The 15,939-nt window shown below is 40.4% G+C and overlaps 1 long non-coding RNA gene, 1 other non-coding gene, 1 pseudogene and 1 further gene across 2 annotated transcripts in view; 3 read left to right on the top strand and 1 right to left on the bottom strand.

The window, feature by feature from the left end:
* The window catches only part of IGH (immunoglobulin heavy locus), a 1,293,408-nt gene that overhangs the window by 16,315 nt on the left and 1,261,154 nt on the right, over positions 1–15,939 (top strand).
* Positions 1–15,939, bottom strand: part of LOC124903399 (uncharacterized) — a 32,160-nt gene that overhangs the window by 14,441 nt on the left and 1,780 nt on the right. The window lies entirely within an intron of this gene.
* Positions 11,984–12,418, top strand: IGHV5-78 (immunoglobulin heavy variable 5-78 (pseudogene); annotated as a pseudogene). The gene is given in 2 exon segments: positions 11,984–12,029; positions 12,113–12,418. Coding segments are annotated over 2 exon segments (352 nt in total).
* Positions 12,531–12,645, top strand: MIR5195 (microRNA 5195). Its single transcript, NR_049827.1, has one exon. It is a non-coding gene; the product is annotated as a microRNA 5195 (primary transcript).

Genomic DNA, 15,939 nt, shown 5'->3' with positions numbered 1-15,939 from the left:
ACAGGAAGGGGAATATCACACTCTGGGGACTGTTGTGGGGTGGGGGGAGGGGGGAGAGATAGCATCGGGAGATATACCTAATGCTAGATGACGAGTTAGTGGGTGCAGCACACCAGCATGGCACATGTATACATATGTAACTAACCTGCACAATGTGCACATGTACCCTAAAACTTAAAGTATAATAAACAAAAAAAGAAAGGTGAGGGAGATACTGTGAGTAAAGAGCTCGCTTGGGGTCTGCAATGTAGTATGGCTTAGTCAGTGTGTTAGTGCTCTGTCCTCTTCTTTCTGAAATCACAGTTCACCATCACCTCCTTATTTTCTAGAAACACCTGGAAATAGTGAAACTTTTTTACTTCCCTTATATTTCATATTAGTGCTATACCCAGGGATCATCAGTTAACCACAATGACAGTGACAAAAAGCTGCCTTCATATTTTCTCCCAGGAGAATTTTGGCTCCAAGAATCAAGGCTTTAATAGGATTCAGGAGAAGTCAGTGATCACAGGGCAGATGCCTCAGGTTTAAAGTCACATCAAACCGAGTGTGAACCTTCTGTAACTCGCAACTGTGCTAACTTTTGGAGGTTTCTTGAAAAATTCTAGTCAGTTTGGGTTAAAGAATGGTTTCAGTAATGTCACACTCAGGGTCATGACTGCTCAACTGGTCATTAGCCCTGGGAAGTAACTTCCGCTAACATTGGCTTACCTCATAGGAGCTTATAAATTGCCATCATATTGATTATCTCATTAGGTCATCAGGATCCTGAAGAATGATCTTTTAAGAAAACAATCTTTTTATCAGGCTTATTTATCATTGCTTCTATATGCTGCTCTTGTCCTGCAGAGGAGGCAGCCTGGGGTCAATCAAGATACTGGGTATTTGGGTTCATACTTTAAGCCCCCCACTCTCTCATGGTCTAACTTCAGACAAGTCACCTCTGCTTTTTGAGCTTCACTTTTCTCAGCCACCAAATGGATGTAGAGATAATATTTGCTTGCCCAATTTTGAAATGTAGGACGGGGCATCATTAATTAATTAGTTCTTTTGTCCACAAACATTTACCCAGCTCCAGCATGAGCCCAGCCTATGCTTGGTCTTCTGCAGAACAGAGAAATGCCTTAGAAGGAGATTCTGACTCTAGTCATCCACGCTGTAGTTAAAGAACTGTGAGCTGGGAGGGTGGGGCAGGCGAGGGGGCCTTCTGATATTTATGTCTCATCTTTCCCTGAAAAAATACTGTGTTTCTACTTTGCTGCTTGTATTCATTCCCAACCTATTACTGTTCATAAAATGCATAAGGTTTACTTTGACTCCAAGTTTATTTTTATTAATTAAAATATTCCATGTTTATCATAATGAGGGTGATTCTCATTAAAACTCTTTTCATTGCCTTCCTGACTAAAAGCAAGTACATTTTTATTTTAATAAACATAAGTAACACAATAAAAAAAAAAGAACCATGTGTTTCCCAGCTGTGTACCTCTCTAAGCTGAGTAGCATCAGCTTATAATACCCAGCATGAAAAACAACTCAAATGTCAGTCATCAGCTTAATTGGTAAAGAAATTGAGGAAAACTCATCCATTGGCATATTACCCACTACTACAAGCAACTAATGTTGGCTACTGTCAACAGCATGGCAAAATTCACAAGTAGTTCTCATAAGTAAAATGAGCCAAACAAATAAAAGTACTTACATAAGATACAACTTTTATAAATTTCATAAAATGAAAAGTAATCTAAACTTACACAAAAATCAGTAGCTCACTGTGAATATTGTAGGAAAAGGGAAGGTCTAGGAAGGAGAAATTACAGAACAAGAGAAAATTTTAAGGAAATTGACTTGTTATCTACGTTGATAATGATTATGTTTGGGACAATATTAGTAAAATTGAACACTTCATAAAGATATTTTTTAATTTAACCTAATTAAAGATAGCACTAATTATAACATGTATAATTTGGTAGAAAAGGAGTTAGACAGAGATAAATAAAATACATGAAATGTCAGAGACACCTGAAATACACAGCAACGAGCCCTAGGCATCTCTGTATTTTTAGAGAAACATTAGAATACAGCAAAATAATGGACTAATTCTACGACATTAAGAAAGTTTATCAAACCCACCAGGCATGTTGTATTAGTTCATTTTCACACTCCTATAAAGAACTACGTGAGACTGGGTAGTTTATGAAAAAAGAGGTTTAGTTGACTCACAGTTCTGCACAGCTGGGGAAGTCACAGGAAACTTACAATCATGGTGGAAGGTGAAGGGGAAGCAAGGCACGTCTCAGATGGCAGCAGGTGAGAGAGAGAGAGAGAGAAGTGACATACACTTTTAAACCCTCAGGTCTTGTGAGAACTCACTATCATGAGAACAACATGGGGAAGCTGCCCCCGTGATCCAATCACCTCTCACTTGGTCCCTCCCTTGACATGTGGGGATTACAATTTGAGATGATATTTAGGTGGGGACACAAAGCCAATGCATATCATATGTCCAGCTCTATCCTGGAGTTGTTTCAGGAATCCAGTGTGTCCTGTTGATAGAAACCGTGACACTGAGCTCACAGCATCAGTAGTATTTGACACCATGCAAAGTCAAGAGATCTCAACTGAGATTTAGTGTGGATGTTTTGTCTGATGAAGTCGTACACTCAGAGCAAGTGAATATGGAGAGGTTTATTATCTGCACTGTAGAGGTGTCTGCTGAGAGCAGGGCAGTTCTCTCAGGACTGTCTAAAATGGCTTGGTAAAGGAGGAATGGAGACTGACTCAGGGTTTTTATAATGGTTTGGTGGTGGGGGCAGAGTGAGGCTTCCCACTCACAGAAAGGGGTTTATAGGGTTTGAAACTCCCAATGGCATCACATGAAGAAGCTCCTGTGATTGCAAACTAGATTCACCTTGTTTGACAAAAGAGGAGATGATAGAGGAGTGAGCCTTAAGTCCTCAGCAGTCATGCATCAAAAATATTGTGACAACTTATTCTATGTAGCAAGAATAAAAATAATGAATAAGCAAAAAGATAAGGGTTCAATGCAGGTGGACAACATGGAGGTCTACAGGAATGCAATGACTTTATAAATATAAGCAAATAATATTGAGAAAAAGGAGGAGGGGTTGGGGAATTAGAGAGGGGTCCTGGTCTAATGTCTTGGGTAGAAGCTTCTCACAACAAAGGACTATCAGCTTATTCTGCAGGTCTTAGGCCAGCTATCTGCTTAAAAACATCCAAAACCCCAGAGAATCTATAAGGATGCTCAGTTTAATATCTCCTATTTGAGTAGCTTTACAGTTGTGTGGAATTCTTTATTGATTCTTTTTTATTTGTTTTTAGAGACAGGCTCTCACCCTGTTGCACAGTTTGAAGAACAGTTGTATGATCAAAGCTCACTGTAATTTTGAACACCTGGCTCACATAATCTTCCCATCTTTGCTTCCTGAGTATCTAGAAGTAGAGGGGAACGCCACCCCTCACCTGCTTATTCTTTAAAATATTTTTTCAGAGAAATAACATCTCTTTATGTTGCTCAGGTTGGCTTCGATTGCCTCGTCTCACGGGATTTCCCTCATTTTTGCTTCTGAAAGTGGTGTGATTATAGCGATGATCCACTGCATCTGGCCTGAATTTATTCTTTAGTTGTAAAACATGAACCCAACAATTAACTGCCTGAATATTTTCTGCAGCGAGTTAGTTAAAAGTATCTGATAAGATTCCTTCCAATATGATTCAAGAGGAGTATTTTCTGCTGATGTTCCTTCCAATTTCCTTGCTGAAGATCACAAGAGTCTGTGGAAAAGATGTAACAAAAAGGCAGCCTCAAACTCTTCATGATTGGAGTGGATATCACACAGGAATCACTTTCAGTATTTTGTAACACATGCATGCAATAGGACAAAGATGATCTCTGGGGGTAAACTCTATAAACGTATGGGCCTTTTAGCTGCCAAGTCATAGGGTAATAACTGATGCACCCTGAGGAGTGGAACATGATTCCATAGTGCTAGTGGGAGAACCTTTGGCCAAGGGAGTTTTACATTTTATTAAAGATTTGATCATTTTTATGTAGAGATGCCATTTTTAAAACATTCCTAGAAGATTGTTGAGTAGGATTCATTCTGTCTTATATGAACAATGATAATGCTCTCCATGGTTAGATAATATTATAAACTAGATTGAGCTAGAGCGTTTGGTGTATTTAATCACTTTTTTTAGCTTCCATTAGCATTTGGATTAAATGAAAATCATAACAAACAGTCTCTCAGACCACAGTGCGATCAAATTAGAACTCAGAATTAAGAAACTCATTCAAAACCACACAACTACATGGAAACTGAACAACCTGCTTCTGAATGACTACTGGGTAAATAATGAAATTAAGGCAGAAATAAACAAGTTCTTTGAAACCAATGAGAACAAAGACACAACATACCAGAATCTCTCGGACACAGCTAAAGCAGTGTTTAGAGGGAAACTTATAGGACTAAATGCTCATGAGAGAAAGCAAGAAAGATCTGAAATCGACACCCTAACATCACAGTTAATAGAACTAGAGAAGCAAGAGCAAACCAATTCAAAAACTAGCAGAAGACAAGAAATAACGAAGATCAGAGCAGAACTGAAGGAGATAGAGACAGGAAAAACCCTTCAAAAATCAATGAATCCAGGAGATAGTTTTTTGAAAAGATTAACAAAATAGATAGACTGCTAGCCATACTAATAAAGAAGAAATGAGAGAAGAATCAAATGGACACAATAAAAAAATGATAAAGAGGACATCACCACTGATCCCACTGAAATACAAACTACCATCAGGGAATACTATAAACACCTCTATGCATATAAACTAGAAAATCTAGAAGAAATGGATAAATTTTTGGACACATACACCCTCCCAAGACTAAACCAGGAAGAAATAGAATCCCTGAATAGATGAATAACAAGTTCTGAAATTAAGTCAGTAATTAATAATAGCCTACTAATAATATTATTAATAGTAATTAATAATAGCCAACTAAAAAAAGACCACTACCAGGTGGATTCACAGCTGAATTCTACCAGGGGTACAAAGAGGAGCTGGTACCATTCCTCCTGAAACTATTCCTAACAATAGAAAAAGAGGGACTCCTCCCTAACTCATTTTATGAGGCCAGCATCACCCTGATACCAAAACCTGTCAGAGACACAACAAAAAAAGAAAATTTCAGGCCAATATCCCTGAAGAACATCGATGCAAAAATCCTCAATAAAATACTGGCAAACCGAACCCAGAAGCACATCAAAAAGCTCATCCAACAGGATCAAGTCGGCTTCATCCCTGGGATACAAGGGTGGTTTGACATATGCAAAACAATAAACATAATCCATCACGTAAACAGAACCAATGACAAAAACCACATGATTATCTCAATAGATGCAGAAAAGGCCTTTGATAAAATCCAACACCACTTCATGCTAAAACCTCTGAATAAACCAGGTATTGATGGAAAGTATCTCAAAATAATAAGAGCTATTTATGACAAACCCACAGCCAATATCATACTGAACAGGCAAAAGCTGGAAGCATTCCCTTTGAAAACTGGCACAAGACAAGGGTGCTCTCTCTCACCACTCCTATTCAACATAGTATTGGAAGTTCTGGCCAGGGCAATCAGGCAAGAGAAAGAAATAAAGGGTACTCAAAATAGGAAAAGAGGAAGTCATATTGTCTCTGTTTGCAGATGACATGATTTTATATTTAGAAAACCCCATCGTCTCAGCCCAAAAACTCCTTAAGCTGATAAGCAACTTCAGCAAAGTCCCAGGATATAAAGTCAATGTGCAAAAATCACAAGCATTCCTATACACCAATAATAGACAAAAAGAGAGCCAAATCATGAGTGAACTCCCATTCAAAATTGCTACAAAGAGAATAAAATACCTGGGAATACAACTTACAAGGGATGTGAAGAACCCCTTCAAGGAGAACTACAAACCACTGCTCAACAAAATAAGAGAGGACATGAACAAATGGAAAAACATTCCATGCTCATGAATAGGAAGAATCAATATTGCCAAATGGCCATACGGCCCAAAGTAATTTATAGATTCAATGCTATTCCCATCAAGCTACCATTGACTTCCTTCACAGAATTAGGAAAAGCTACTTAAATTTCATATGGGACCAAAAAAGATCCCGTATAGCCAAGACAATCCTGAGCAAAAAGAACAAAACTGGAGGCATCACGCTACCTGACTTCAAACTATACTACAAGGCTACAGTAACCAAAACAGCATGGTACTTGTACCAAAACAGACATATAGACCAATAGAACAGAACAGAGGCCTCAGAAATAACATCACACAGCTACAACCATCTGATCTTTGAAAAACCTGACAAAAACAGCAATGGGGAAAGGATTCCCTATTTTATAAACAGTGCTGGGAAAACTGGCTAGCCATATGTAGAAAGTTAAAACTGGATCCCTTCCTTAGACCTTATATAAAAATTAACTCAAGATGGATTAAAGACTTAAACATAAGACCTAAAACCATACAAACCCTAGAAGAAAACCTAGGCAGTACCATTCAGGACATAGGCATGGGCAAAGACTTCATGACTAAAACATCAAAGGCAATGGCAACAAAAGCCAAAATTGACAAATGGGATCTAATTAAACTAAGGAGCTTCTGCACAGCAAAAGAAACTACCATCAGAGTGAACAGGCAACCTACAGACTGGGAGAATGTTTGTGCAATCTATCTATCTGACAAAAGGGCTAATATCCAGAATCTACAAAGAACTTAAATTTACAAGGAAAAGACAAACAATCCCATCAAAAAGTGGGCGAAACATATGAACACTTGCTTCTCAAAAGAAGACACATGAAAAAAAAAGCTCATCCTTACTGGTCATTAGAGGAATGCAAATCAAAACCACAATGAGATACCATCTCACACCAGTTAGAATGGCCATCATTAAAAAGTCAGGAAACAACAGATGCTGGAAAGGATGTGGAGAAATAGGAACGCTTTTACACTGTTGGTGGGAGTGTAAATTGGTTCAACTATTGTGGAAGACAGTGTGGCGATTCCTCAAGCATCAAGAACCAGAAATTCCATTTGACCCAGCAATCCCATTACTGGGTATATCAGCAAAGGATTATAAATCATTCTACTGTGTCTTACGTGACACATGAACACATATGTTTATTGCAGCACTGTTCATAATTGCAAAGACTTGGAAACAACCCTTATGCCCATCAGTGATAGACTGGATAAAGAAAATGTGGAAAATATACACCATGGAATACTCTGCAGCCATAAAAAGGATGAGTTCATGTCATTTTCAGGGACATGGATAAAGCTGGAAACCGTCATTCTCAGCAAACTAACACAAGAACAGAAAATCAAACACTGTATGTTCTCACTCAAAAGTGGGAATTGAACAATGAGAACACATGGACACAGGGAGGGGAACATCACACACAGGGGCCTGTCACGGGGTGGGGAAGCTAGGGGAGGGATAGCATTAGGAGAAATACCAAATGTAGATGATGGGTTGATGAGTGCAGCAAACCACCATGGCACATATATACCTATGTAACAAACCTGTACATTCTGCACATGTATCCCATAACTTAAAGTATAATAAAAAATAGTAACTCAAAAAATTATGTTAATCAGTTCTCTAGTAGGTAGAAATTCATCTGGGAGTTTCTTCTCTTGTCCATTTTGATAGGATCTGCAGAAGACATAAGAACCCTCTCTGTTAAAAATATTCCTAAGTTGTACACCATCTAGAAACATATATACTTAATTATAATTTTTAATTTATTAAAAAGCTTTAATAAGTGCAATGTTTTCTGCCTTCTGAGTTGATTTCATAACACATAGAAGGATATATCCTGAATGAAACTTTGTACTAGTAATACAAATTAAAGGTTAATAACCTCTACTTTTATTATTGAGGTATTACCCACCAATATATAATCTTAAATCAGTGCTCTCAATGGGGCTTTTACCTAAATAATATAAAAAATATTTTCCTGATCTTGACACAAAATAGATGTGAACACATTCTTCATATTCAGCCATGTCTCCTGTCTATTACATTATGAACCACATGCTAACTTTGATTTACTTGGGACTTGTTCTAATTTCAAACTAGTTATTTTTTATCTTCATGCAGCTAGATTATTATGTGTGAGTATTTTATCAGAGAGTGATAAAGATAATTTAAACAAGTAATTGTGTGTCTCAGGACTCTTCTTGGGTTCTGAGACAAGAAATGCCATTACTACCTGAAGGATTGAGACAACTTTGAAAATGTCAGAGGAATCATCTCTAATTGCTTCTAAATTTCAGTTTTATCAATTCTTATGCTTTCTGAATTATTTTTGATTTTAGTTATTAAAGGATTCTTTCTTTTTCTCTTAATCTAGCTAAGAATTTGTCCTTTTTTAAGAAAAAACTCTTAGGTTTGTTGATTTTTCTATTGCTTGTAAAGTCTTTTTTCACTTATTTCATTTACTCTAAAGCCTCATAAACACATTGGTGACAGGTAGATGGAGAACTTGATTGTAAATGCCCTGTTTTTGTTAGACCCAGCTGATCATGTCAGGAAGCCCCCTGAGGGGTCTAGGAGCTGACTGTGGCTCCCACCACTGGACAAGGATGAGAACCTCCATGCTTTGGGGATGGGAGGACATGCAGGGCAGTGTGAGGGGAGGAGGGTTGCTGGCAGGTCCAGCATTGCTTCCCCTGGCTGCACCACTCATGTCCTTCCTCACTCAGAGATTCAGTCATTTCTTCCCAGGTGGAAAAATCAGTTAACTTTATCTTTGATATATGGATGGGAGCCCAAGATAGAGGCTTGTCAGTCATTATTTCTGTGCCTGCTGCCTTGGGAATGTCTGAATTTCTCATGCTCTGTCCTGGGTCTATACCCCAGTGGCTCCCCTACTCCATGGCACCCACCTGTGCCTGTGCATGGCCCCTGATCACAGCCTCCGTGAAACATCTGGTTTGGCTCAGGAAGAACCCTCCCTGCCTTGTTTTCCTGCTGTCCCTGGTCCACATCCTTCTCCATCCACAGGCTCTCAGTGGTGCCTCCCATCCACACTGACCCTACGTGGGTTCATATCTTGTCCACCACTTCCTCTCTCTTTTCTTCTGCATCTTGCTTTTTATTCCAACAGCCTGTTTCCACCTCACCTGGACTTATGTACAGGAAAGTGTTTACTGAGCAGGCTTGTGTTGTGCAAACCCTGAAGATTACTGAAAAAGTGCTTTCTCAAGCCACATCCATATTCAGCTCCTGGGAGATGATATCTGCTTTTTTGGCATACTCCTCCTGGAAATATTTTTAAACCATTTTATTAAGGTAAGGATTACATCTATAAGACTATACGTTATTTAACATACTTAATTCATTGAGTTAAGTATGCAAAGTTACCATCACCATCAAGGTCATAAACATAGCAATGACTTCCAAAACATTCCTCTTTATTCTTTTTATTCTTAGTATTATGATTATTATTATTAGTTGAAATGTATTTTTGCTTGTGTGTCTCTGTCTCTGTGTGTGTAGCCTGGGTGCACACTATGCTAGCTGTTTCCATAATGACTTATGGGGAATGCCTATTATTGCTGAAGGGGCCAGCGTCTGAGCACTGGAGGTCAGTTATGCAGGTGCCACACACATCTGTGATGGGCCCCAATAAACAGCACTGGGCACCAGCACTCAGGTGAGCTTCCCTGGTGGACAATGCTTCACACGTATTGTCATGCATCACTGCTGGGAGAACTGGGGACAAGAGACTTCTCAGGGAAAGAACACCTGGGAGCTTGTGCCTGGATTCTCAGGGCCTTCCCACTGGTTCCTTTGCTCATTTTAATTCATATTCATTTGCTATAATAAAGCTGCACCCACGAGAATAACAGCTTGTCTTGAGTCCTTTATTTGTACTGATTATGGGGCCTGAGGATGGTCTTGGGACACTCAACACAATTACATCAGAGGTGTAAATTGCTAGAAAGACCCTGACTACTGACACATGTCTATAGCATTTATAATATCAAAGGATGAGAAAGTGTAGGATAAAAGACATTCAGTGCCTGGATGGCTATAGAATCACATGGCATGAGATGATGTGTGCACTCCAATAAGGAGCAGGAAGTGAAAGTAATCCATGGAATTTAGAAACGACGGACACAGCTCCCTAGGAGTTGTTCCCTGAACAAGAACAAGTAAAAATAATGAAGAACAACCTGAGTATGCAACTCATATCTGTGATAGCTAAAATAATAGTAAAAAGATGCACATCCAGCCCTGCAGTGTGCCCTGTGAGCCAAGGCTGCTAGACTCCCATTCACTGCCAAAGGGTACAGTTGTCCAGAAACAACACACAACACACAAGAGCTACACAGATGGTAGCCCAGGGTTTGGACTGGGGAGGGGAATCCACTTGACAACTAGAACAGGGAGGATAGTGTGGAAAGTGGCATCATTTTGTGATATGAATGATATCATTAATAGATATCATCAGATCGTGAACAACATTAGCCAATGGACTAGGAGACTGACTGATGTAGCAGATTCTCTTTGGCTTCATGTGTTGCATAAGGGAGGAGCATGTTTGGGAAGATGCTGGACCCACAGCTCACAATAGACACATCACAGATGGCTCTAGCTGATCCCAACCTCAAGTAGGATGCTTCTGATGGGACAGCTTTCCTCAAGCACTGGATCCCGATCATGTAAAGTTTCTCTACCCTGAGAATGAGACTGCCCTTTCTCTCTTTAAAATGCAAAGTGGGCTCTCCAGATGAGGAGCCCAATGCTGTATATGGAAGCCATAGTGCTATGTGTTTATGTTGATACCGACGGTCATTGCTTAGCATGCATCTTATCCAGGTCCTGCTGCTGTGTGTTTCTGTTGATGCTGCTGGACATTGCTTCGCATGCACCTTACCTAGGTCATGGCCTGTGCTGTGATAAAGAGAAGTCCTTTTGCTTCTGCACCCCAGGTACAACTCCTGTGAGCAATCTGGCAAATATTTTAGAAACTGTGTAGTTTGTATTGCCTTGTCTTTTCATTTGAATCTTTTAGATGATAAGGAAATGAGAGTGGTTCACAAGATAATGGGGCAGACACAGGGGATAGTTAAGGGCCTCCTCCAAGCAATGTGGATATCATAAAATGAATGTTAAAAAATGAAAGAACTAAACAAGAAGGTGCTGGGGTTGACACAAAGGACTTAAAACAGAACTACCAGGAGTTGGGTGCAGCAATGGCAATCCCTTCAGTTCCATCAGCAATTCAGAGACCTAAACAAATATTCCCTATTTATGTTGAATTGGCAGACTGTAGAAATGTAGAAGACAAAATGACCAGAAAAAATGTGTGATTTGGCATGGGTGAAGGTCTGGCAAGTTAATCAAGTTGAGGACTGTTGAAGCCCTAGGGTGGTCCTGCCTTTGCTGGGTGCCCAGACCATAATGGCACTCATGGGAAATTGCCAGCAAGTAGAAACTAGGTGTTTTTTTTTTTTTTGTAGTTCTTATTATCAGGCATATGTGCATTTGAATTTTGTCTTCATAGCATTTCCTGGTTCTATTTCTCATTTTTTAAAACACACGTGATTTCATCTAGATTTATCACCTTCACAGGGTCACAGAGAAGGGTAGGAAGAAGGGAGGCCCTGGTTTGGGTCTTGTAGGACCATGGACAAGAGTGCGGAGGGACAACAGGGGGTTGTAAGACATTATTAAGACCTTATTCTGCCTCTCCCAAGAGGCTCAGTTCAGCCGTTTTTCTGCAGTTGCGGTTCTGGGTTATAAACCTTGTAGACTCTTCCCTTCAGGCCAGGGCGGCAACTATGCAAATTCAAGTGGGGGCCTCCCCACTTAAACCCAGGGCTCTCCTCCACAGTGAGTCTCCTTCACCACCCAGCTGGGATCTCAGTGCTTTCTTTTCTGTCCTCCTCCAGGATGGGGTCAACCGTCATCCTTTCCCTCGTCCTGGCTGTTCTCCAAGGTCAGTCCTGCCCAGGGTTTGAGGTCACAGAGAAGAATGGGCAGAAGGGAGCCCCTGATGCAAATTTTGTGTCTCCCACACAGGTGTCTTTGCCGAGGTGCAGCTGTTGCAGTCTGCAGCAGAGGTGAAAAGACCCGGGGAGTCTCTGAGGATCTCCTGTAAGACTTCTGGATACAGCTTTACCAGCTACTGGATCCACTGGGTGCGCCAGATGCCCGGGAAAGAACTGGAGTGGATGGGGAGCATCTATCCTGGGAACTCTGATACCAGATACAGCCCATCCTTCCAAGGCCACGTCACCATCTCAGCCGACAGCTCCAGCAGCACCGCCTACCTGCAGTGGAGCAGCCTGAAGGCCTCGGACGCCGCCATGTATTATTGTGTGAGAGGGACCATCTAAAACCTTCCGCGGTGCAGGTGCAGAGTGAGCTGCCAGACACACCCTCCCCAGGGGCCTCTCTATTCATCCGGGGAGGAAACACTGGCTGTTTGTGTCCTCAGGAGCAAAAACCAGAGAACAACATGGGAGCGTTCCTAACCCCTAAGGCAACTGGATGGGAGACCTGACCCATCCAGTTCTCTGAGGGGGCTCTTGTGTGTTCTACAAGGTTGTTCATGGTGTATATTACATGGTTAACATCAAAAGGCTGCCTAATAGGCACCTCTTCAATATAATAGTCTTTTAATTAGTGAAAATTTTACACAGTTCATCATTGCTTGCTTGCCTTCCTCCCTTCTGTCCGCTCTTACTCCCTCCTTCTTTTATTTTCTACTTACTTTTCCAAAATCATTTAACCCCTTTTTGTACCATTAATAAGTTATCTTGTTTTTGTTGTTGTTTTCCTTTTAACAATATGCACTGAATAATTCATCTTTGTGCCAATTCGTAAATATTTTGATATAACAAAGACTTCTGTCATAAATAGATTTCCTGTGAGTAATCTTGCAAATATTTTAGAACCTGTTTGGTTAAGAATAAATTAAAATAAATAGACAAATTTTTAAAGACATACAACCTATCAAAACTGAACCACCAAGAAATAAAAAATCTGGGCTGGGCGTGGTTGCTCATATGTGTATTCTCAGCACTTTGGGAGACCGATGCGGGTGGATCACCTCAGGTCAGGAGTTCAAGATCAGCCTGGCCAACATGGCAAAACCCCGTCTCTACTAAAAATACACAGATTAGCTGGGTGTGGTGGTGTTCACCCGCAGTCCCATAGTCCCGGCTACTCGGGAGGCTGAGGTAGGAGAATGACTTGAACCTGGGAGGCAGAGGTTGCAGAAAGCCAAAATCGAGCCACTGCACTCCAGACTGAGCAACAGAGTGAGACTCCAATTAAAAAAAATCTGAACAGACCAATGAGTAAAGAGATCGAGTCAGTGATTTTTCCAACATCTCGAATCAAAGTCCAGAACTTCATGGCTTCACTACTGAATTTTATCAAAAATTAAAAAAAACCTAGAATCTCTACTCAAATTTCCAACAAAATAAAGAGAAAGAAATATATCCAAGCTTATTTTGGAAGGCCCTATTTCCAAAGCAAGGAAAAGACACTACAAGTAAATAAAACTACAGGCCAATATCCCTGATTATCATAGTTTCAAAAACTCTCAAGAGTGATGAGATGACAAACAAAATTAAACAGCAGATTAAGAATAGAATTCACCATTATCTGTGTCTCCCATACCCAGAGAGGCTGCTGCTTGCCCTGCACAAGGATACTCTGAGCAGAAACCTACCTGGCCCAGCCCTCACCTTGCTTTATGCAGCCATCTGCCCTGGCAGCTTAACACAAAGGACAGCATCTTTTGGGAGATACATGGCCACACCCACTGCCTGAGAATCCACAGTAGCCCCTATTCCTGGGCAACATAAGCCAAGCAAAAACCCCACTGTTAATACTGTAGCTGGTGCTCTTTGGAAAGCACCATCTCCAAGCAGGAAGCCAATAAACAGTCCATCACAGTATCTCCTGGTAGACTATCACTGCACCCAGAAAGGAGAAAATGACTGTGTGATCTCAGCTATGACCAGTGCCTGCACCACTCTGGATGACCAGGAGGTCCTGAGTCTGTCCATGTGAACAGTTCATTACCGCTATAACCAGCATTCAAGAAAGCCAGTACACAAAGGCTATCAATATCTAAGGAATTTCAGTCTCCATCACTCCCCTGCTGCTTCCATCAGACCTGGTTCACTGCTCACTGCTGAAAAATTGAGGACACATCACACCACCGGATCCCTCACATACATTCCCCAACACCAGCCTGAAGTGTGTCAACTTCACTGGGCGGCTAGACCTAGAGAAGCAACAACACTCACAGTAGTATGGCTCCCAGGTTCTCCTGCTCCTAGGGGAAGGGAGTGCACCACATTGAGGGAACACCCTGTGGGACAGGAGAATCTGGATGGCAGGCCTTGAACATCAATCAGATCCCTCCATTGGTGGGAAACTTCTTTTAGTAGAGGCAGTTACAGTGCTGAGCTCAGCAGAGAAAGTCTTCAGCTCTGTCTCAACAGTCAGATATCCCTGGTGCATGTGAAAAACTTGAAGAAGAGGAAGTCTTTCCCCCTTGTACACCACTGCAGGCACACTTGGGGTCTCTCCCATAAGAGCTCAGTACGGGTGCAACTATAGACAGCATTTCTGGAACACATCATGTTGACTGCATCCCCCAGAAAGAGCACTCTCCAGGTTCAGGTTTTGGCCAGACACAGAGTCACAATTCCTCTGTATTTAACACTTCAACTTTTGTACAGAGGAAAAGACATGCCTGTCTGATCTGAATAGCTGGAATCCTGGGATACGGGAGTGTCTTAGAGGTGCATAACTTTCCTACAGACCTGGCAAGACAGCTGAGGTGGCTCCAACCCTTCCCCCAGATAAGACCTCAGTGTGACTCACTAAAAGCTCCTCCAGCCAACTCTGTCAAGGCTGGGACTTCATTTACCACCTGATTTAGCCACAGCTGGTTTCTATCCAGGGACAAGCCCCCTACTGGTCTGAAGCCTGAACCATCAAACTAGCAAATAAATCACTGGGGGAAAATAAATAAATACGTGCATGCCACAGAGGAATGAACTAAGGTTTAATAGACCTCAACCATTCTAACCCCATAGAAGACAGTGAACTTGCTCACATACTGAGCAGATTTCTACTGCAATCAACACATAGGAAAGCCATCATACAAAGATTCTCCATAACCACGGAACTCTTACAGAGTCTTCACCCCTCTAAGGACCAAAAACCAAATTAGACTGTAATTAATTATAACCATTAAAGTCTCATTCTTAAGGGAAAAAATAAATTTAAAAACAAACAAAAGAAACAGTTAAAACAAACATAATTTCAATACTAGTTAGAAGAAATAGTCTACCAAAATAAGAGGAAATGAGAAAAATAACTCAAGTAATATGACAAAACAGGGTGCTATAACATCCCAAAAAGGTCACACTAGGTCTCCAGCAATAAACTTTAACCAAAATGAAGTCTTTAAAATACCAGATAAGAAATTCAGAATGTTGATTATTAAGCTACTCAAGAAGATATAATAAGAAGGTGAATATCATCATAAACAAATGTATAAAAGCAGTTCAGAATATAAATACAAATTTTTATAGAGAGATAGATATCATAAAGAGAAACCAATCAGAACTTCTGAAAATAAAAGACAAAATGCAGGGAAATAGTAAGGGAATTACAAAATGCCATGGAAAGTTTTAAAAATAGACTAGAAAAAAGTAGAAGAAAAAATAAACAAGAGACTAGAAAAAGTACAAAATAAAAAGTTGAAGTAAAAAATTAGATGAAAAAAGAAGAAGAATAAAGTAGAAATAAGAAAAAAGAAGAAATAAAAAAGACTATTTTTGAAATAATCAAATCAGAGAAAAATAAATTTAGAAAGA

The sequence above is a fragment of the Homo sapiens genome, chromosome 14, assembly GCF_000001405.40.
Source record: "Homo sapiens chromosome 14, GRCh38.p14 Primary Assembly".
In the NCBI taxonomy this organism is placed as follows: Eukaryota; Metazoa; Chordata; class Mammalia; order Primates; family Hominidae; genus Homo; species Homo sapiens.
Note: the sequence above shows the minus strand (reverse complement) of the source record. Positions and strands in the feature narration are given on the sequence as shown.